Consider the following 22,532-nt stretch of genomic DNA (forward strand, 5'->3'; position numbering starts at 1 on the left):
GTAACAGCCCCTTCCTAAGATATACTTCCCTCTTGCCTGGGGACCAGACCAAGAAACTAGCCACAAAATGAGAAACCATGGCTTAGGAGTCACGCAGCTGGAGGCTACAAGATTTTATCCTCCCTTAACTGCCCAAGATCAGTATTTAAGATATTTTGTAAACTCTGCCCTTGATGGATCAGCTGGCTCTGCCTAGATTGATAAACTGGCTTATCTGATTTTTGGCCCTTCCCCGGGAACTAACTTAGCACAAGACACCCACCGTTGTAAAATGGCAGAGACTAAAACAAAGTATTGCCACGTGGTTACACGTCATGTTTCCAAGTACATGAAACAAGATGGAGGCCTGTAGCCAAGTTTGTTACTGACCATTTTGTTGGACTGGCTTGAACAGCAGGCTTATAGGGTCCTGGGTCTGCATCTTAACCTAAGGTACCCTTTCTTTCCACAGGACCATACAGAAAGATACACGAAGCACACCAGATTGGCTACAGTTTAAGACCAACCTCACAAATCCCTTTTCATTAATTAAAACTTAACCACAAATATAAACAATAATCCTTATCCCTTTTGCCAGTTTGGATAGGGAGAGAGAAGCCAAAAGCCTGACTGGTAAGAAAATTTTACCCTTTTGCCCACATGTCAGGCTTCTAGTTCCTTTTCCCCAGCTCAACTCTAAGCCAAGCATTTTTAAGGTTTGGAAAATTAACTTTTCCCAGGTTGAAAGAACATTATAAAAGCATATAGGAGCCATTTTAAGCTGTAAAAGAAGGAAAAATACCATAGAAAAGTCTGGGGGTTCCAGTTAGAGTTGTTAAGAGGTATTGCTTCCCTTCCTATCGACAATGATGTTTCCTCTATTTCTTGATCTTCTCTATTTTCTCTTTTCCCTTTTTGCTTATTATAGGAGACATATTGTACATTTCCAAAATTCTCTGCCTTCTGCAGAACTGCCTGTTTTTCAGCTGTAGTTTGGGGTTTGGCTTAGAAGCAGCATAACATCCCTTCATGAGAGGTTAAACACCTGAGTTAAATTTCAGAAAGCTTCTATATACCTATCAGGGTCATTGGAGAATTGGCCTAAGTCTCCCTTTATTTGCCTAAGGTACTGTAATGAGAAGGGAACTTGAGGGGCCCCTGAATAAGGGGGATCCTTAGATTGTTCCCCTGGAAGTTACTTCTCTAACTTTGGTGAATCATTTGCTATTGGCCTGCCTGATATGACTACTAAAAGAGCTGGGTTGATTTTGTAACACCTGCAAAGGTCTAGTAAGGCCATGCCCTTGTGCAAAAGAAAATGAGTTGATTTTTCTTTAAATTATTAGAGTCAAAGGAGTCCTTGTGCTTCAGAATGTACTCCAGAGGGGTGCAAGCTGAAGATGATCTGTTACCCATCTAGAGAGAGAAGTGACAAAAAGGCATCTCTTTTTTCACCTTCCTTTTGGTGTGACCCAGGGTGGAGAGGAAAACAGTGGGGACGTCCCTCCTGCTGTTTTCCCTCTGCGGTTTCTGGGTCCTGGCACCTTGTTTAATGTGCCACCCATGGTTGCAGGTGTGACCCCCAGCCATGGAACCAGAGGAACTAAGTGATTGGGATTAGTCACACTGATTCATGCAACTCAAGTCCTCTGCCTGTGATTTCCTTTGACTTCCTAGACTTGTGTGACCTGCCTGGCTCCCTGAAAAATGGATCTTGGGAGAGACTATGCGACAGTTGCATTTGGGCAATTGTTGCACTTCCCTCCTTAATGGAGGAAGTGTGCTGGTTTGAGCTCTATATCCTGCTATTACAGTCCATGCTAAAGTGTTTACCCTTAGAGAATGGTTCTGGTTAACTTCTGAACTTAAAATCCCCTTACTAATTAAGTACCATTCTGATTGGAGGCAGAATAGGTGCCTTAAAAGATCATAGGGGCTGAGTGTGGTGGCTCATGCCTGTAATCCCAGCACTTTGGTAGGCCGAGACAGGTGGATCATGAGGTCAGGAGTTCGAGACCAGCCTGACCAACATGGTGAAACCCCGTCTCTACTAAAAATACAAAAATTAGCTGGGCATGGTGGCATGTAATCCACCTGTGCCTGTAATCCCAGCTACTCAGGAGGCTGAGGCAGGAGAATCTCTTGAACCCAGGAGGTGGAGGTTGCATTGAGCCGAGACTGCACAATTGCACTCCAGCCTGGGTGACAGAGCAAGACTCCGTCTCAAAAAAAAAAAAAAAAAAAAAAGATTGTAGGGACTAAATGGCTGTTTTCCTGTTGATGGAGCAGTATCAAGAATAAAATTTGGTTTTGGAGGATGTTTTATTCCTAGTTGTTGAAGCCAGAATTTTCCCATTTACAGAAGCAGCATGAAGCCTGGTTTGTAGTAGAGAGGCTCAAAAAGGGAAGAGAATTGGGAAGCTAGGCTGTTTTTGGTAAAGGACTGACAATGTGCCTCATGAAGAGGATCCCTGTTTCACTAGATGGTGCTGTTGACCTTGAAATGCCATGTGCTTTCCAGACCAAGGGCAGAGTGACCTTGACACGCCATGTGCTCTCCAGTCCTAGGTCAGAGAGAGACCTGGAAATGCCACGTGCTCTCCAGACCAAGGGCAGAGTGACCTGGAAGTTCCGTTTGCTCTCCAGACCAAGGGCAGGGAGAGACCTGCAAATGCTATATACTCTTCAGACCAAGGGCAGAGAGTGATGCTCACTGTCGGGGGGAGCCTTCTGTTTCTAGAAAATCTCAAAGACGCCTTCCCTTGAGCTATATCCCCTACAACGTTTCCTGATCTTGCCAAACAAAATAACTGAACTGTAAAACTTCGCTCACATAGCATACACAGAGAGAATAGGAGATATGACAGTCGCAGACAGGAAAGGAGGAAATTATGATAGAAAAGTTGGAGATCCTGTTGCCAACACCCCATCAGGTGGTCAGAGACTGGGATCAGTCCAGAAGCCTTTGGATAACACCTGAAGGTAGCCCCAGCCAGAAATCCTCAGTTGCTCTAGAACCTCTTACAGCCCCGCACAATGGCTAAGTCCTCCATGAAAGGAAGCTGGTTCAAACATGGCCAACATGCCCAGCAACCCATGGGTGCTGGGGGATTCTCCATTTTCTTCCCAGTAAATCTCACATCTGAGTCTTTAAGAATGGCAGCCACGCTAACCGTGTTTTTAACTGGCTGACAGATGCCCATTATTGATTTGATTTAGTTCTAAAGTGGAGGCCAACAGCCCCAAAATGAAAGGACAGAGTTGGATTCCACTCCTCTACTCACCGTTTTGATGAGCGTTGTACCTTGGTATCCTGAGTGAGCACCCTGACATGATTGGCTATGTTGTCTGGGGTAAATACCCAGCGTCTGTCATCTCGTGCCAGAAAAATTTAGGACACGGACACATACGAGGAGTTTAGGAATGGAGGTTTAATAGGCAAGAGAAAGAGAAACAAAAAGAAAGGAAAACAGCTCTCTCTCTAGTGTGAGAGGGGAATTCTGAGAGCAAAAGGTGGACTGGCGGCGGATGTGCCGGATTTTATAGTCTTAAGGAGGCAGTGTCTGATTTACATAGGGCTCACAAATTGGTTCAATCAGGTGTGAGCTTTACATAGTACTCAGGGAAGGCTGGCCACCCCACCCTAATCTTTTTAATGCAAATGGAACTTTCCCCTTGGCTGATGCCATCTTGTCTGCTCCTTACTATACACATGGCTGACAGAGAAGGGAAGATGGAGCCACTATTTTGAACATGATTGGCACACCTGCCAGCATGTATGTCTGCAGCTTGATTTTACAGGCTGCTCTTTGTTAGAAAATGATTTGGGGCTGCTTCTTATTAAAAGGAAAACCTTACCAAGGACTTCTGTACCCTTATTATCTGCCTAAGTGAGTTCTTCTTAACTCCTGTATCAGTGTGCCCCCTTTCCACGCCAAACCAATGTATACTTAACATGTATCAACTTTTGTCTTTGCCTTAAAATGTATAAAACCAGTCTGTAACCCAAAAACCTTGGGCACATGTTCTCAGGACCTCCTGAGGCTGTGTCACAAGCCATGGGTCCTTAACCTTGGCAAAAGTAACCTCTAAATTGATTGAGATCTGTCTCAGATACTTTTTTGTTTACATCCTCATAGCTGTTTTGTTAAATCTTGTCCCTGATTTTAGCCTTTTTTACCTTATTTCTGATTTTAGCCTTTTCCTTCCAAGAAAAGGGTGTTCATAAGGTCTCAAATACCCTTTTTCATAATTCTCAGAGGGCCATACTGGCCCTGAAAAATACTTTTTAAAGTTAGTCCTGAGGATTCTGTTTTAAAAAGCTAGATCTGTCTGCACAGACAGAATATTCAGCTTTGTTAGAGTTGTTTTTTTTCCTCCCCCTCCTTCACAAACATCTTGCTAGCCAGTCAGAACAGCTGAGTCAACTGTGGTCAGTTGGCTGAGAGATGTCACGGTCCATCTTTATGTCCAAATATTTGACAAATGTAAAAATATAGCTGAATATGCAAATTAATTATTGTAACCATGCTAATACACATACACATATACATGCATACATATATATACAGGGCAGTGGGATTATATACTATTCCTATCTTTTGTTTTTTCATTTCTATCATTTAAAATGTTAAGTTTTAAATAAGAAATGGTGGTTATTGTATTTTTGTTTTTCATGTCTATCTTTTAAAATGTTAAGTTTTAAATAAGAAATGGTGGTTATTGTATTTTTGTTTTTCATGTCTATCTTTTAAAATGTTAAGTTTTAAATAAGAAATGGTGGTTATTGTATTTGGGAGGTGATACACCTTTTTACTTCTAGATTCTGAAATAGATGGGTTACAAACAAGGGAACTAGTGCCACAATGTTTGGAAATTGTTCCATGCATAGAACTGGCTAGAACAAGGCAAGTTAGCCATTCCCTGTGCCTGAGGAACCAGGTCACTGGCTGCAGAGTCAGTGTGAATAGGATTATTTCCCATAATCCCTTGTGGCTTTGGTTCTATATCAAGGTCAGAGAGACTCAGGAGCGGAAGTTACATGTTTTTTTGAGGGTTAGGTACAGTTCTTATATATTCTCCTATTTCTGCCTTTACTTGTAAAGATCTTGGGGAGGATGCTCTGCCCAGGCATTTTCTCTTTATCCCGGACTTCCAGGGTTTTCATATTGGCTGGAGTTTTATAAGAACCTCAGTGTTTTGTAATGAATATTTCTTTTCCACACATCTTTTCTGTTTTTACATATTGTAGTAGTAATATGGATGAGGCAGGAATTGTGTGCTGAAGTACCTCCCAGCTTTGACTCTGAAAATACTACTTTTTAAAAATCTATTTATTTATTTATTTTCTTTTTTTGAGGCATGGTCTTGCTCTGTTGCTCAGGCTGGAGTGCAGTAGTACGATCATGGCTGACTGCATCCTTGACCTCCTAGGCTCAAGCAATCCTCCCACCTCAGCCTCCAGAGAAGCTGAGACTGCAGGCATGTGCCACCATGCCCAGCTAATTTTTAATTTTTTTGTAGAGACAGGATCTCCCTATGTTGCCCAGGCTGGTCTTGAGCTCCTGTGCTCAAGCATTCCTCCTGCTTCAATCTCCCAAAACGTTGGGATGACAGGCTTGACCTACTGAACCTGGCCTAAATATTTATTTTAAATTAGCTTCATAATTAGATGAATATCAAGTTTATTCAATCTGGTATTTTTTAACAGTCTTGAGGAAGTAGTTGATATTGATTGAGCAATATAGTGCTTTCTTATTTAAATATTTAATGTTTTCCTTTTTTCTTTTTTTTGAGACAGAGTCTCGCTCTCTCACCGAGGCTGGGGGGCAGTGGTGTGATCTTGGCTTACTACAGCCTCCGCCTTCCAGGTTCAAGCAATCCTCCCACCTCAGTCTCCTGAGTAGCTGGGACTACAGGTGTGTGCCCCCACACCCGGCTAGTTTTTGTATTTTTAGGAGAGATGGGGTTTCACCATGTTGGCCAGGCTGGTCTTGAACTCCTGGCCTCAAGTGATCTGCCTGCCTCAGCCTCCCAAAGTGTTGGGATTACAGGCCAGAGCCACTACACCCAGCCATTTTTCAAAACCCCTGTTTGTTTTAATATGTGATATGTTTTCAGAACACCTGCTTATTTTAATATGTGATACGGTTTGGATTTGTGTCCCCACTCAAATCTCATGTCGAATTGTATTGTAATCCCTAACGTTGGAGGAGGGGCCTGGTGGGAGGTGATGGGCCATGGGGGCGGACTTCCCCCTTGCTGTTCTTGTGACAGTGAGTTCGTTCTCATGAGATCTTGTTGTTTAAATTTGTAGTACCTCTCCCACCTTCTCTCCCTCCTGCTCCAACCGGGTAAGATGTGCCTGCTTCCCCTTTGCCTTCCGCCATGATCCTAAGTTTCCTGAGGCATCCCTTGCCATGCTTCCTGTACAGCCTGTGGAACTGTGAACCAATGAAACCTCTTTTTTAAATAAATTACCCAGTCTCAGATAGTTCTTTATAGCAATGTGAGAACAGACTAATACAATATGCGAACCATTAGGAGATATATAAGGATTTAAAAACTTTAAAAAACATATCTACACATCTGTTTAAATCTTATCAGTTAAGGTAATAATGTTAACACCCCACTTGGTGTATATCTTTCCATACTTATCTTCCTATTCATAACATGTGTTCAAGCATATTGATAGGATTTGGATCTATGTCTCTACCAAATCTCACGTCGAATTGTAATCCCCAGTTTTGGAGGTGGAGCCTGGTGGTAGGTGATGGATCATGGGAGCGGAGTTCTCATGAATAGGTCAGCACCATCTGCTTGGTGCTTTTCTCCTGTGAGTGAGTAAGTTCTCTTGAGATGTGATTTTTTTAAGGTGTGTGGTATCTTCTCCCTCTCTCTGTTCCTTTTGCTCTGGCCATGTAATATGCGCCTGCTTCTCCTTGGCCTTCTGCCATGATCATACGTTTCCTGAAGCAGATGCTGTGATGCTTCCTGTACAGCCTACAGAACTGTGGGCTAATTAAATATTAAATCTCTTTTCTTTATACAGTATGTAGTCTCAGGTATTTCTTTATAGCAGTACGAGAACAGACTAATACAGAAAATTGGTATCAAGGAGTGAAGCATTGCTATAAAGATACCTGAAAATGTGAAAGTGACTTGGGAACTGGGTAATGGGCAGAGGTTGGACGAGTGTGGAGGGCTCAGAAGAAGATAGAAGGATGAGGGAAAAATTGGACTGTCTTAGAGACTTGTTAAATTGTTGTGACCAAAATGTTGATAGTGATATGGACAGTGAAGGCCAGGCTGAGGAGTTTTCAGATGGAGATGAGGAACTTACTGGGAACTGGAGCAAAGTCAGTTTTGTTATGTGTTAGCAAAGAGGTTGGAGGCATTATGTCTCTGCCCTGGGGACCTAGGGACTGTTTTTATTATTATTATTATACTTTAAGTTCTAGGGTACATGTGCACAACGTGCAGGTTTGTTACATATGTATACATGTGCCATGTTGGTGTGCTGCGCCCGTTAACTCATCATTTACATTACGTATAACTCCTAATGCTATCCCTCCCCGCTCCCCCTACTGCACGACAGGCCCCAGTGTGTGATGTTCCCCACCCTGTGTCCATTCCCACCTATGAGTGAGAACATGCGGTGTTTGGTTTTCTGTCCTCGGGATAGTTTGCTCAGAATGGTGGTTTCCAGCTTCATTCATGTCCCTACAAAGGACATGAACTCATCCTTTTTTATGGCTTCATAGTATTCCACGGTGTATATGTGCCACATTTTCTTAATCCGATCTATCACTGATGGACATTTAGGTTGGTTGCAAGTCTTTGCTATTGTGAATAGTGCTGCAATAAACATACGTGTGCCTGTGTCTTTATAGCAGCATGATTTATAATCCTTTGGGTATATGCCGAGTAATGGGATGACTGAGTCAAATGGTATTTCTAGTTCTAGATCCTTGAGGAATCGCCACACTGTCTTCCACAATGGTTGAACTAGTTTACAGTCCCACCAACAGTGTAAAAGCATTCCTATTTCTCCATATCCTCTCCAGCACCTGTTGTTTCCTGACTTTTTAATGATTGCCATTCTAACTGGTGTGAGATGGTATGTCATTGTGGTTTTGATTTGCATTTCTCTGATGGCCAGTGATGATGAGCATTTTTTCATGTGTCTGTTGGCTGCATAAATGTCTTTTGAGAAGTGTCTGTTCATATCCTTTGCCCATTTTTTGATGGGGTTGTTTGATTTTTTCTTGTAAATTTGTTTAGGTTCTTTGTAGATTCTGGATATTAGCCCTTTGTCAGATGAGTAGATTGCAAAAATTTTCTCCCATTCTGTAGGTTGCCTGTTCACTCTGATGGTAGTTTCTTTTGCTGTGCAGAAGCTCTTTAGTTTAATTAGATCCCATTTGTCAATTTTGGCTTTTGTTGCCATTGCTTTTGGTGTTTTAGTCATGAAGTCCTTGCCCATGCCTATGTCCTGAATGGTATTGCCTAGGTTTTCTTCTAGGGTTTTTATGATTTTAGGTCTAACATGTAAGTCTTTCATCCATCTCGAATTAATTTTTGTATAAGGTGTAAGGAAGGGATCCAGTTTCAGCTTTCTACATATGGCTAGCCAGTTTTCCCAGCACCATTTATTAAATAGGGAATCCTTTTCCCATTTCTTGTTTTTGTCAGGTTTGTCAAAGATCAGATGGTTGTAGATGTGTGGTATTATTTCTGAGGGTTCTGTTCCATTGGTCTATATCTCTGTTTTGATACCAGTACCATGCTGTTTTGGTTATTGTAGCCTTGTAGTATAGTTTGAAGTCAGGTAGCATGATGCCTCCAGCTTTGTTCTTTTGGCTTAGGATTGTCTTGGCAATGCAGGCTCTTTTTTGGTTCCATATGAACTTTAAAGTAGTTTTTTCCAATTCTGTGAAGAAAGTCATTGGTAGCTTGATGGGGATGGCATTGAATCTATAAATTACCTTGGGCAGTATGGCCATTTTCACAATATTCATTCTTCCTATCCATGAGCATGGAATGTTCTTCCATTGTTTGTGTCCTCTTTTATTTTGTTGAGCAGTGGTTTGTAGTTCTCCTTGAAGAGGTCCTTCACATCCCTTGTAAGTTGGATTCCTAGGTATTTTATTCTCTTTGAAGCAATTGTGAATGGGAGTTCTCTCATGATTTGGCTTACTGTTTGTCTGTTATTGGTGTATAGGAATGCTTGTGATTTTTGCACATTGATTTTGTATCCTGAGACTTTCCTGAAGTTGCTTATCAGCTTAAGGAGATTTTGGGCTGAGATGATGGGGTTTTCTAGATATACAATCATGTCATTTGCAAACAGGGACAATTTGACATCCTCTTTTCCTAATTGAATACCCTTTATTTCTTTCTCTTGCCTGATTGCCCTGGCCAGAACTTCCAACACTATGTTGAATAGGAGTGGTGAGAGAGGGCATCCCTGTCTTGTGCCAGTTTTCAAAGGGAAGGCTTCCAGTTTTTGCCCATTCAGTATGATATTGGCTGTGGGTTTGTCATAGATAGCTCTTATTATTTTGAGATATGTCCCATCAGTACCTAATTTATTGAGAGTTTTTAGCATGACGGGCTGTTGAATTTTGTCGAAGGCCTTTTCTGCATCTATTGAGATAATCATGTGGTTTTTGTCTTTGGTTCTGTTTGTATGATGGATTACGTTTATTGATTTGTGTATGTTGAACCAGTCTTGCATCCCAGGGATGAAGCCCACTTGATCATGGTGGATAAGCTTTTAGATGTGCTGCTGGATTCGGTTTGCCAGTATTTTATTGAGGATTTTTGCATTGATGTTCATCAGGATATTGGTCTAAAATTCTCTGTTTTTGTTGTGTCTCTGCCAGGCTTTGGTATCAGGATGATGCTGGCCTCATAAAATGAGTTAGGGAGGATTCCCTCTTTTTCTATTGATTGGAATAGTTTCAGAAGGAATGGTACCAGCTTCTCTTTGTACCTCTGGTAGAATTCAGCTGTGAATCCATCTGGTCCTGGACTTTTTTTGGTTGGTAGGCTATTAATTAGTGCCTCAATTTCAGAGCCTGTTATTGGTCTATTCAGGGATTCAACTTCTTCCTGGTTTAGTCTTGGGAGAGTGTATGTGTCGAGGAATTTATCCTTTTCCTCTAGATTTTCTAGTTTATTTGCATAGAGGTGTTTATATTATTCTCTGATGGTAGTTTGTATTTCTGTGGGATCGGTGGTGATATCCCCTTTATCATTTTTTACTGCGTCTATTTGATTCTTCTCTCTTTTCTTCTTTATTAGTCTTGCTAGCGGTCTATCAATTTTGTTGATCTTTTCAAAAAACCAGCTCCTGGATTCATTGATTTTTTTTTGAAGGGTTTTTTGTGTCTCTATCTCCTTCAGTTCTGCTCTGATCTTAGTTATTTCTTGCCTTCTGCTAGCTTTTGAATGTGTTTGCTCTTGCTTCTCTAGTTCTTTTCATTGTGACGTTAGGGTGTGAATTTTAGATCTTTCCTGCTTTCTCTTGTGGGCATTTAGTGCTATAAATTTCCGTCTACACATTGCTTTAAATGTGTACCAGAGATTCTGGTATGTTGTGTCTTTGTTCCATTGGTTTCAAAGAACATTTTTATTTTTGCCTTCATTTTGTTATGCATCCAGTAGTCATTCAGGAGCAGGTTGTTGAGTTTCCATGTAGTTGAGCGGTTTTGAGTGAGTTTCTTAATCCTGAGTTCTAGTTTGATTGCACTGTAGTCTGAGAGACAGTTTGTTATAATTTCTGTTCTTTTACATTTGCTGAGGAGTGCTTTACTTCCAAACATGTGGTCACTTTTGGAATAAGTATGATGTGGTGCTGAAAATAATGTATGTTCTGTTGATTTGAGGTGGAGAATTCTGTAGACGTCTATTAGGTCCGCTTGGTGCAGAGTTCAATTCTTGGTGAGTTCAATTCCTGGATATCCTTGTTAACTTTCTGTCTCATTGAGCTGTCTAACGTTGACAGTGGGGTGTTAAAGTCTCCCCTTATTATTGTGTAGGAGTCTAAGTCTCTTTGTAGGTCTCTAAGGACTTGCTTTATGAATCTGGGTGCTCCTGTATTGGATGCATATATATTTAGGATAGTTAGCTCTTCTTGTTGAATTGATCCCTTTACCATTATGTAATGGCCTTCTTTGTCTCTTTTGATCTTTGTTGGTTTAAAGTCTGTTTTGTCAGAGACTAGGATTGCAACCTTTGCTTTTTTTTGTTTTCCATTTGCTTGGTAGATCTTCCTCCATCCCTTTATTTTGAGCCTATATGTGTCTCTGCCTGTCAGATGGGTCTCCTGAATACAGCACACTGATGGGTCTTGACTTTTTTTTTTTTTTTTTGAGACAGAGTCTCGCTCTGTCACCCAGGGTGGAGTGCAGTGGCGTGATCTCAGCTCACTGCAAGCTCTGCCTCCCAGGTTCACGCCATTCTCCTGCCTCAGCCTCCTGAGTAGCTGGGACAACAGGCGCCTGCCAACGTGCCCGGCTAATTTTTTGTATTTTTAGTAGAGACGGGTTTTCACCATGTTAGCCAGGATGGTCTCGATCTCCTGACCTCGTGATCCACCCACCTTGGCCTCCCAAAGTGCTGGGATTACAGGTGTGAGCCACCATGCCCGGCCGGGTCTTGACTCTTATCCAATTTGCCAGTCTGTGTCTTTTAATTGGAATATTTAGCCCATTTACATTTAAGGTTAATATTGTTATGTGTGAATTTGGTCCTGTCATTATGATGTTAGCTGGTTGTTTTGCTTGTTAGTTGATGCAGTTTCTTCCTAGCATCGATGGTCTTTACAATTTGGCATGTTTTTGCAGTGGCTGGTACTGGTTGTTCCTTTCCATGTTTAGTGCTTCCTTCAGGAGCTCTTATAAGGCAGGCCTGGTGGTGACAAAATCTCTCAGCATTTGTTTGTCTGTAAAGGATTTTATTTCTCCTTCACTTATGAAGCTTAGTTTGGCTGGATATGAAATTCTGGGTTGAAAATTCTTTTCTTTACGAATGTTGAATATTGGCCCCCCACTCTCTTCTGGCTTGTAGAGTTTCTGCCAAGAGATCTGCTGTTAGTCTGATGGGCTTCCCTTTGAGGGTAACCCGACCTTTCTCTCTGGCTCCCTTAACATTTTTTCCTTCATTTCAACAGGATCTGTGGAAATTTGAACTTGAAAGTGATGATTTAGGGTATGTGGTGGAAGAAATTTCCAACCAGCAGAGTATTCAAGATGTGGCCTGGCTGCTTCTAACAGCCTGCATTCATATGCATGAGCAAGGAAATGACCTGAAACTGGAACTTATTTAAAAGGGAAGCAGAGCATGAAAGTTTGGGAAATTTGTAGCCTAGCCATGTGGTAGAAAAGAAAAACCCCATTTTCAGTGGAGGAATTCAATCAGGCTGCAGAAATCTGCCTAAGTAAAGAGCAGCCAAGTGCTAATTTTTCAAGACAACGAGGAAAAGACCTTGAAGGCGTTTCAGAGAACTTTGTGGCAGCCTCTCCCATCACAGGCCCAGAGGCCTAGGAAGGAAGAATGATTTTCTTGGCTAGGCCCAGGGCCTTGCTGCACTGCACAGCTCCATGCATCCTGGAGCACTGCTCTGTGCATCCTGGCATCTCTAGCACCAGCTGGGCTCAGAAGGGCCCAGGTATAGCTTGGGCTGCTGCTTCAGAGAGTGTAAACTGTAAGCCTTGGTGGTTTACACTTGGTGTTAAGCCTGTGGATGCACAGAGTGCAGGAGTTGAGGCTTGGGAGCCTCCATCTAGATTTCAGAGGATGTATGGAAAAGCCTGGATGTCCAGGCTGAAGCCTAGTGCAGGGTTTGAGCCCTCATGGAGAACCTCTACTAGTGCAGTGCAGAGGGGAAATGTGGGGTGGGAGCCCCCCCACAGAGTCCACACTGGGGCACTGCCTAGTGGAGCTGTGAGAAGAGGGCCACTGTCTTTGAGAACCTAGAATGGTAGATCCATTGGCAACTTGCACACTGTGCCTGGAAAAGCCACAGGCACTCAACGCCAGCCTGTGAGAGCAACTCTGAAGGCTGAATCCTGGAAAGATTTGGAACTTTCCAAGGCCTTGGGAGCCCACTCCTTGCATCAGTGTGCCCTGGATGTGAGACATGGAGTCAAAGGAGATTATTTTGGAGCTTTACGATTTAATGACTGCCTACTGGGTTTGGGACTTGCGTGGGGCCTATGACCCCTTTCTTTTGCCCAATTTCTCCTTTCAAAGTGGAGTATTTACCCAATGCCTGTACCCCCATTATATCTTCAAAGTAGCTAATGTGTTTGATTTTACAGTCTCATAGCTGGAAGGGGCTTGCCTTGTCTCAGATGTCACTTTGGATTTTGGACCTTTGAGTTAATGCTGGAATGTGTTAAGACTTTGGAGGACTGTTGGGAAGGCATGATTATATTTTGTAGTGTGAGAAGGACATGAGATTTGGAGAGGCCAGGGGCAGAATGATATGGTTTGCCTCTGTGCCTCCCACAAATCTCATGTTGAATTGTAATCCCCAGTGTTGGAGGTGGGGCTTAATGGGAGGTGATGGATAATGGGGTGGAGTTCTCATGAATGGGTTAACACCATCCCTTGGTGCTATTCTTGTTATAGTTCTCATGAGATCTGGTTATTTAAAAGTGTATAGCACCTCACCCCTCACTCTTTTCCTCCTGCTCTGGCCATGTGAAGTGCTATATCTCCCTTCACCTTATACCTTGATTGTAAGCTTCCTGAGGCTTCCCCAGCCGTGCTTCCTGTATAGCCTGTGGAACTGTGAGCCAATTAAACCTCTTTTTTAAATAAATCACCACGTTTCAGGTATTTATGGCAATACAAGAACAGACTAATACACACACACAAACACACACACATATATACATGCCCTTTTGGTTTACTTTAAAAAAAATAGCTTTATTGAGGTGTAGTTTGCATACCATGCAATTCATCCCTTTAAAGTATAAATCCAGTGGTTTTTAATGTATTCACAGAGTTGTGTAACTGTCACCACAATAAATTTTAGAATATTATTATCACTGTAAGAAAGAAACCTCTTAGCCATTAGCAATCATTTCCATTTTCTCCAACCTCCCACTAGGGAGGTTCCTCCAACTGGGAAACCACGAATCTACTTTCTGTCTTTGTAGAATTACTCATTCTGGACATTTTATGTGAATGGAATAATATAATATGTAGTCTTTTGTAGCTGCTTTCTTTCACTTAACATCATTTTTTTAGGTTCATCCAAGTTGTAGTGTGTATCAGTACATTGTTCCTTTTTATGCCTGAATAATATTCCATTATATGGGTATACTATAATTTGTTTATTCATTCATCAGTTGATGGACATTGCATTGTTTCCACTTTTGGACTGTAATGAGTAATGCTGGTATGAACATTTGTGTATAAAATTTTGTGTGGATTTTTTAAAACTTGAGGTGAGGCTGGGCACAGTGGCTCATGCTTGTAATCTCAGTACTTTGGGAGGCTGAGGTGGATGGATTGCTTGAGCCCAGGAGTTTGAGACCAGGTTGGGCAACATGATGTAACCCCATCTCTAAAAAAAATGCAAAAATTAGCTGGGCATAGTGGCACATGCCTCTAGTCCCAGCTACTTGGAGGCTGGGAGGTAGGAGGATCACTAAGCCTGGGAGGCAGAGGTTGTAGTGAGCTGAGATTGTGCCACTCCCTCTGTTGTCCAGGCTGGAGTGAGCAGCAGAGGGAGACCCTGTCTCAAAAATAAAAATTAAAAAAAATTAAAAATTGAGGTGATAGTCACATAACATACAATTAACTATTTGAAAGTGTGCAATTCAGTGGCTTTTAGTATGTTCACAGTGTCATGCAATTATTGTGTCTCTCTACTTCCAAAATTTTTTCATCATCCCAAGAAAAATACCCATACACATTAAATAATCACTCCCTTTCCCTCTATCCCCTGGTAACCACTAATCTGTCTTCTGTCTCTATGGATTTTGCAGTTCTGGTTATGTCATCTAAAAGGTATCATATAATTTATGGTCCTTGTGACTGGCTTTTTTAACTTAGCATAATTTTTTAGGGTTCATCCATATGGTGGTTTGTATCAGCATGTCATTCTTTTTAATGATTGAATAATACCATAGTGTAGGCCGGGTGTGGCACAGTGGCTCACACCTGTAATCCCAGCACTTTGGGAGACCAAGGCAGGTGGATCACGAGGTCAAGAGATCGAGACCATCCTGGCCAACATGGTGAAATCCCATCTCTACTAAAAGTGCAATAATTAGCTGGGTGTGGTGTCGCACACCTGTAGTCCCAGCTACTCGGGAGGCTGAAGCAGGGGAATCACTTGAACTGAGGAGGCGGAGTTTGCAGTGAGCTGAGATCGCGCCACTGCACTCCAGCCTGGTGACAGAGTGAGACTCCATCTCAAAAAAAAAAAAAAAAAACACACACACAAAAACTCTAGTGTATGGATATTACCACAGTTTGTTTACCCATTCATTAGTTCATGGACATTTGGGTTGTTTCTGCTGTTTGGATGTTATGTATAATGCTGCTAGATACACTTGTGTACATGTTCCTGTGTGGCATATTTCTGTGTGCACTATTTTTCAAAGTGGCTGTATCATTGTGGATTCCCACCAGCAGTATATGATGGTTCCACCTTTTCCACATTCAAGCTCAAAGTTACTATTATCTGTCTTTTAAGTCATCCTAATGGGTGTGAAATGATATCTTACTGTGGTTTTGATTTACATTTCCCTAATGACTAGTGGTTGTTATGCATATTTTCATGTATTTATTGACCATTTATTTATTTTTATTTATTTTTTGACATGGAGTCTTATTCTGTAACTCAGGCTGGAATGCAGTGGTTGGATCATAGCTCACTGCAACCTTGAACTTCTGGGCTCAAGCAGTACTCCCACTCCAGTCTCCTGAGTAGCTGGGACTACAGGTGTGCACCACCACCACGCTTGGCTAATTAAAAAAAAATATTTTTTTCTATGAACTCTGCAGAGAAGAAATTAATTTTTATTTATTTATTTATTTATTTATTTATTTATTTAGTAGAGATGGGGATCTCCCTGTGTTACCCAGGCTAGTCACGAACTCCTGGGCCCAAGTGATCCTCCCACCTAGGCCACCCAAAGTGCTGGGCTTACAGGTGTAAGCCACTATGCCTGGCCTCATTGGCCATTTGTATATCTTCTTTGGGGAAATATTTATTCAGATCCTTTGCCCATTTAAAAATTGGATTATTTGTCTTTTTATTGAATTGTATGTGTTCTTTATGTATATGCTAGATACAAAACTCTTATTAGATATATTACTTGCAAACATTGTCTCCCATTCTGTGCTTTTCGCTTTCTTAATAGTATCCTTTAAAGTGCAAAAGTTTTAATTTTGATGAAGACTAATTTATCTACATATTTTTTCTTTGGTTGCTTGTGCTTTGGGCATTATAGCTAAGAAACCATTGCAAGAGTTTGTATACTTTCAGCTATTATAGTCAGATCTTTGATACATTTTTAAGTTAATTTTTGTATGTCATGTGAGGTTTTTGGTTTGCTTTTACAAAATGTATTATGTATTTTTACTTAAAATACATCTTGGATATCTCTATCAGCCAGTAGATAACTGTCATTTTTAAGTCTGTGGATAAAAGAGCGTGTTACTTTGCCAACTTGTAAACTCCCCTTTCTGGAACGATACCTCTGCAAGTCTACCTGCCATCCCTGCTGTTTGTTCCTTATTCTGTAGACCCTGTTCAAAGCAGAACTCTAGACCAATTGCTTTCAGATTTGCTTTCCCTTTTAATAAGGCACCCATCTAATTTTGAGATGAAATAATACCCTTCTTGGAACATTCAGTGACTCCTTGGAATTCATATAATAAAATGCAATTAGGGAGGGGGCACAATCTGAAATAGATCTGCCCTTTCATACTCTTTAGACTATTACTCTGTATTAGTCTGTTCTCGTACTGCTATAAAGAAATACCTGAGACTGGGTAATTTATAAAGAAGAGGTTTAATTGGCTCACAGTTCTGCAGGCTGTACAGGAAGCATGGTGGCACTTCTGCTTCTGGGGAAGCCCCAGGAAACCTACAATCATGGTGGAAGGCGAAAGGGAGGCAGAGACATCTTACATGGCAGAAGCAAGAGCAAGAGTGGGGAGGTGCTACACACTTTTAAAACAACCAGATTTCATAACTCCTCATTCACTTGCCATCACCAGAACAGCACAAAGAGGATGGTGCTAAAGGCTAAAGCTTTCATGAGAACTCCACCCCCATGATCCAGTCACCTCCCACCAGGCCCCACCTCCAACACTGGGGATTGCAATTCAACATGAGATTTGGGTGGGGACACAAATCGAAACCATATCACTCTGATAGTTTCAAGGAATATTTTTGTTGCTTTTCATTGACTTTCCAATTTATGATCCTTACTGACTTTACTACTTGGAATTCTCTTACAAAATCTGTTTTTCACTGTTTATCCACCTTGCAATTAATAAAAGTGTCCTGTTTCACAAAATGATTAAAATTATCTATAATTTTCTCACTTAACAATATGTCTCCCTCACATTATGCTTTCCTTTCCACTTTGTTTGTTTGTTTGTTTGCTTATTTGAGACAGGGTCTTGCTGTGTCACCCAGGGTGGAGTACAGTGGCACAATCACGGCTCACTGCAGTCTCCGCCTCACGAGTTCAAGCGATTCTCCTGCTTCAGCCTCCTGAGTAGCTGGGATTACAGGCATATACCACCGCACCGGCTAATTTTTGTATTTTTAGTAGAGATGGGGTTTTACCATGTTGGCCAGGCTAGTCTTGATCTCCTGACCTCAAGTGATCTGCCTGCCTCAGTCTCCCAAAGTGCTGGGATTAGAGGCATGAGCTACCACGCCCAGCCTCCCTTCCACTTTAGTTATTATTATTATTTTTAAAATAGAGTCTTGCTCTGTCACCCAGGCTGAAGTGCAGTGGCATGACTTTGGCTCACTGCAACCTCCACCTCCCAGATTCAAGCAATTCTCCTGCCTCAGCCTCCTAAGCAGCTGGAGTTACAAGTGCGCACCACCACACCCAGCTAATTTTTGCATTTTTAGTAGAGATGGGGTTTCAACATGTTGGCCCGGCTGGTCTCAAACTCCTGACCTCAAGTGATCCGCCCACCTCGGCCTCCCAAAGTGCTGGGATTTTAGGCATGGGCCACACGCCCAGCCAAATGAGGAATCTTGAGAAAACTTGGCAATGATATAGTTCTATACATTGCTGCTGTTTTTCATTCCCTTTTCTACCCCCTTCTTTTCCCTACATCATTCTTCATTCTATTTCCATTTTACATGACAAATTTTGTTACTTATTTAATTATTCCCAGACTGACATTTGAGATAACAGTAAGAAAACCTTATTTTTAGTGTTATGTTTCCCTTCTAGTGGACTAATACTTTCCTTAGGTGCCTTACCCTTCTTTTAAGCACACGGCAATAAGAACAGTTTTCTCAGCCAGTCATGTTGGCTCATGCTTGTAATCTCACCACTTTGGGAGGCCAAGGTGGGTGGATCGCTTGAGCCCAGGAGTTCAAGACCAGCCTGGACAACAAAATAATACCCAGTTACTAAAAAAAAAATTTTTTTTTCCTTCTAGAAAGCATTTAAGTTACCTTATGCATTTCAAGAACAAATAATTCCTAATAAATGTTTTAAATTGACCTTATTCCATATTTTGAGCGATTGATTTCTATCCATGCACACCTGCTTACCATTTCCTCCACTCAATTTGTATATAGCTTCCTGTCCAGTATAGTTTTCACTAGCTACATGTGGGTATTTAAATGTAAATTTGTTAAAATTAAATGAATTTAAAAATTCATTTTCTCAGTTACACTAACCACATTTCACATACTCATTAGCCACATAAAGCTGATGGGTACTACAGTTGACAGTGCAGACACAGAATTCCTTCATCATCACAGAAAGTTTTATTTACTGGCACTGCTACACTGTTTGACTTATTCCTACTTGCGGGGCTGACATTTGAAATTATTGTAAACCATTCCCTGTTTAATAAACTTATTTTTTTTTTTTGAGACAGAGTCTCACTTAGTCACCCAGGCTGGAGTGCAGTGGCACGATCTTAGCTCACTGCAGCCTCCGCCTCCTGGGTTCAAGCGAGTCTCATTCCTCAGCCTCCCGAGTAGCTGGGACTACAGGCATGTGCCACCATGCCCGGCTAATTTTTGTATTTTTAGTAGAGATGGGGTTTCACCATGTTGGCCAGGCTGGTCTTGAACTCCTGACCTCAAGTGATCTGCCCACACCGTCCTCCCAAAGTGCTGGGATTACAGGTGTGAGCCACTGCATCTGGCCTATAAACTTATCTTTGATGGACTCTTGTTAGTGGTCATTGTTGCAGAAATCTTGCAATGCCCCATAGAAGTGTTTTGTATTTTTGTTTGTTTTAAAGAGATGGGGGTCTCTCTATGTTGCTTAGGCTGTACTAACTCCTGGGCTCAATGAATCCTCCTGCCTCAGCCTTCCAAGTAGCTGGGACTACAGGAGTGCAATACTGTGCTTGGGAGAAGTTTTAAAATTGTTTTTGGCAGTTTTGTGTGGCAAATATAAAAGTCATTTTAAGCTGAAATATTTTAAGTCAGCATCCTATTTATGTTTTAAACACATAATATATTCACATGATAATTTTAAGTAAGAATAAAGAATATACGGTGAAAAGTAAATCTTCTCATGTCTTCCTCTCAGTTGTCCTTGGAGAGAGGCATGTACTAAAACAAGGTTCTTTGTGTGTTCTTCTAGATTTTTTATCTTATAAGCATATGTGTGCCTGTCTTCACTTTTGAAAATGTAAGTGGTAGCATCCTATGCATACTTTTTATCGTGTGTGTGTGTGTCAGGTCTTAAGTCTAGATGATTTGTGTTTTTACATTCATGTATTTTGGAAATTATTCCATGTGGGTACCCGTAAATCTGCCTTATTTTTATTGCATAGTATTTCATTATATAGGTGTATTTTAACTTATCTACTCATCTTCTATTGAACATTTAGGCTGATTCTAACATTTTACTATTGCCAAATAGATTACAATGAGTATCTTTATTTTTGCAAATGTGCAAGTATAGCAATATGAGTAGTAGTACTGGGAGAGCACAGGTCTGTGCTTTTTAAGACTTTGATAGATTCTGCCAAATTGCCCTCCCTAAAGACTGTTCCAAATTACACATTTACCTACAGTGTATGAGAATGTCTGTTTCTCTGTCCCTCATCATTACGGCTTATCATAAAACTCATTGTAGAGCAGTATTATTAAAGATTGTAATAAAAAGTTTATTTTATTAAATTTTGGCTGGGTGTGGTAGTGCATGTCTGTAGTCCTAGCTACCCCGGAGGCTGAGGCGGGAGGATGGCTTGAGCCTGGGAGGTTGAGGCTGCACTATGTTGCCCAGGCTGGCCTTGAACTCCTGGGCTCAAGTGATCCTTCTGCCTCGGCCTCTGAAAGTGTGGGGATTACAGGCATCAGCCACTGCACCCACCCGGTAATGTACTTTCTATAATGGAAATAAATTAAGAGCTTTGAGTGTAGCTATTCTGAGTTGCAAACTTATCTGTATACTTTGGATAAAAATATCTGAGCTAACATGTACTAAGAAACCTGAGCTTACTTGGAAGACTGCTTCACTTTTGCATGAAGTTAGACCCTAAGGTAATCAGAGCAATCTATAAGAATAACTTTTCTATGCATTAGTAATAAGTTGTCACAAAAAGTAAGAGAAAAAATATCCCATCCACAGTAGCACAGAGGTATAAAATATCTAAGAATAGGCCAGGCGCACTGGCTCATGCCTGTAATCCCAGGACTTTGGGAGGCCGAGATTAGTGGATCGCTTGAGGCTAGGAGTTGGAGACCAGCCTGGCCAACATGGCGAAAACCTGTCTCCACTAAAAATACAAAAATTAGCCAAGCACAGTGGCGTGTGCCTGTAGTCCCAGCCACTCAGGAGGCTAAGGCACAAGAATCGCTTCAACCCAGGAGGTGGAGATTGCAGTGAGCTGAGATTGTGCCACTGCACTCCATCCTGGGTGACAGAGTGAGACTCTGTCTCAAAAAAATAAAATATTTAAGAATAAAGCCACATGAGATATGAAAGCATGAAAGGCAGAATATTATAAACTACATGACCTCAAACCCTTGTACTGCAAAAGCTTAGAAATACTGACCAAATATAACAAATATCCCATTAAGGATATAATTTAGCTCCCAAGAAAGTAAGGCGGCTCTCCCTTGGGCTAAAATGGAAAACAATTTAAAAACCAGAGTAGAAAGTAGAACTAATGCTTTAAGAACATGAGAGTTGGTGGAGGAGCAGTTGTTAATGACGTGTTACTCCTAGTGGAATAGCCTCCCACCCCCTAATAAATAGCCCAGCTAATTTATGCCATTACATACACCTAGATTTTAGTTCCAGACCTTGAGCTGTGGGACCTTGGGCAAGGCCTCTTTGAATTCCAGGTTTCTCACCTGCAAAATGGGGAAACAATAGTACCCACCTTTTCTGGTGGCTGTATAGGTTAAGTTAAATGGAAATAACACACAATATATTGAGTGCTAACTGTGTTCCAGGGCAGTGCCCTAAGTGGTATGTATAAATTCACTTCTCTTCATAAGGTGGACTGAATTGTGATGCCCTCCACCAAATCCCTATGTTGAAACCCCAGCTCCCAATGTGATGGTATTTGTAGATGAGGCCTTTTGGAGGTCATTTGGTTTAGATAAGGTCATGAGGGTAGGGCCTTCATGATGGGGTTAGTACCCTTATAAGAACAGCACCAGGCAGTTTGTACTCCTTTCCCGGTCTCCCCTGCATCTGGTATCAGGACACAGTGAGAGCGCAGCCATCTGCAAGCCAGGAAGTATGAGCCCTTACTGAGGAACAAAATCGGCTGGCATCTTGATCTTGGACTTTACAGCCTCCAGAACTGTGAGAAATAAATTATTGTTGTTTAAGCCATTCAATCTATGGTGTCTTATTAAGGCAGCCTGACCTAATACATAAGGCAGCAAAGGCATTCTTACCATAAAGGCATAGGTTATAATGGCTTCCTGGTGACAAGAGACAAGGTGATGAGTCAGGTAGCTGGAAATAAGATCCTTGCTTCCATAAAGCTAGGATTCTCAAAGGGTCATATGCTCAGTTAAAGCCTGGCCTAGAAAATATTCACAGGAAGATGAAAAGCAAGTTTATTCATCTTAGTCTGAGTTCTGGGTGGATGGGGGAAAAAGTGTCTGACTTGAGTATTCATAACCAGAGGCTTGTGCTCATGAAAGTCTGAGATTCAAATTTGTTTAATTTACATGGTTCAGCAATCCCTAAGCCAGTAAGCTACCCCAAAAAGACAGTCCAAAGCTAGAAAACAACTTTGGGCCACACTCTCACATCAGGTTACACAAATTTCTGTGGATACAGCTACACTTTACATGAGTTCATAATGCAAAATTATAAAACCTACAAAAAAAA

At 41.4% G+C, this 22,532-nt stretch overlaps 1 protein-coding gene across 9 annotated transcripts in view, besides 1 other annotated feature; it reads left to right on the forward strand.

Moving 5' to 3' along the window:
* Nucleotides 1-22,532, forward strand: part of UNC13B (unc-13 homolog B) — a 243,327-nt gene that overhangs the window by 29,445 nt on the left and 191,350 nt on the right. The window lies entirely within an intron of this gene.
* Nucleotides 2,359-2,653: an enhancer, noted in NCBI's record as "tiled region #3537; K562 Activating DNase unmatched - State 12:CtcfO, and HepG2 Activating DNase matched - State 12:CtcfO". NCBI's record gives its function as "activates a minimal TATA promoter and a strong SV40 promoter by Sharpr-MPRA in K562 cells, with weaker activity in HepG2 cells {active_cell/tissue: K562 | HepG2}" and the evidence as "EXISTENCE:reporter gene assay evidence [ECO:0000049][PMID:27701403]".

Source organism: Homo sapiens, chromosome 9, assembly GCF_000001405.40.
Source record: "Homo sapiens chromosome 9, GRCh38.p14 Primary Assembly".
Lineage (NCBI taxonomy): Eukaryota > Metazoa > Chordata > Mammalia > Primates > Hominidae > Homo > Homo sapiens.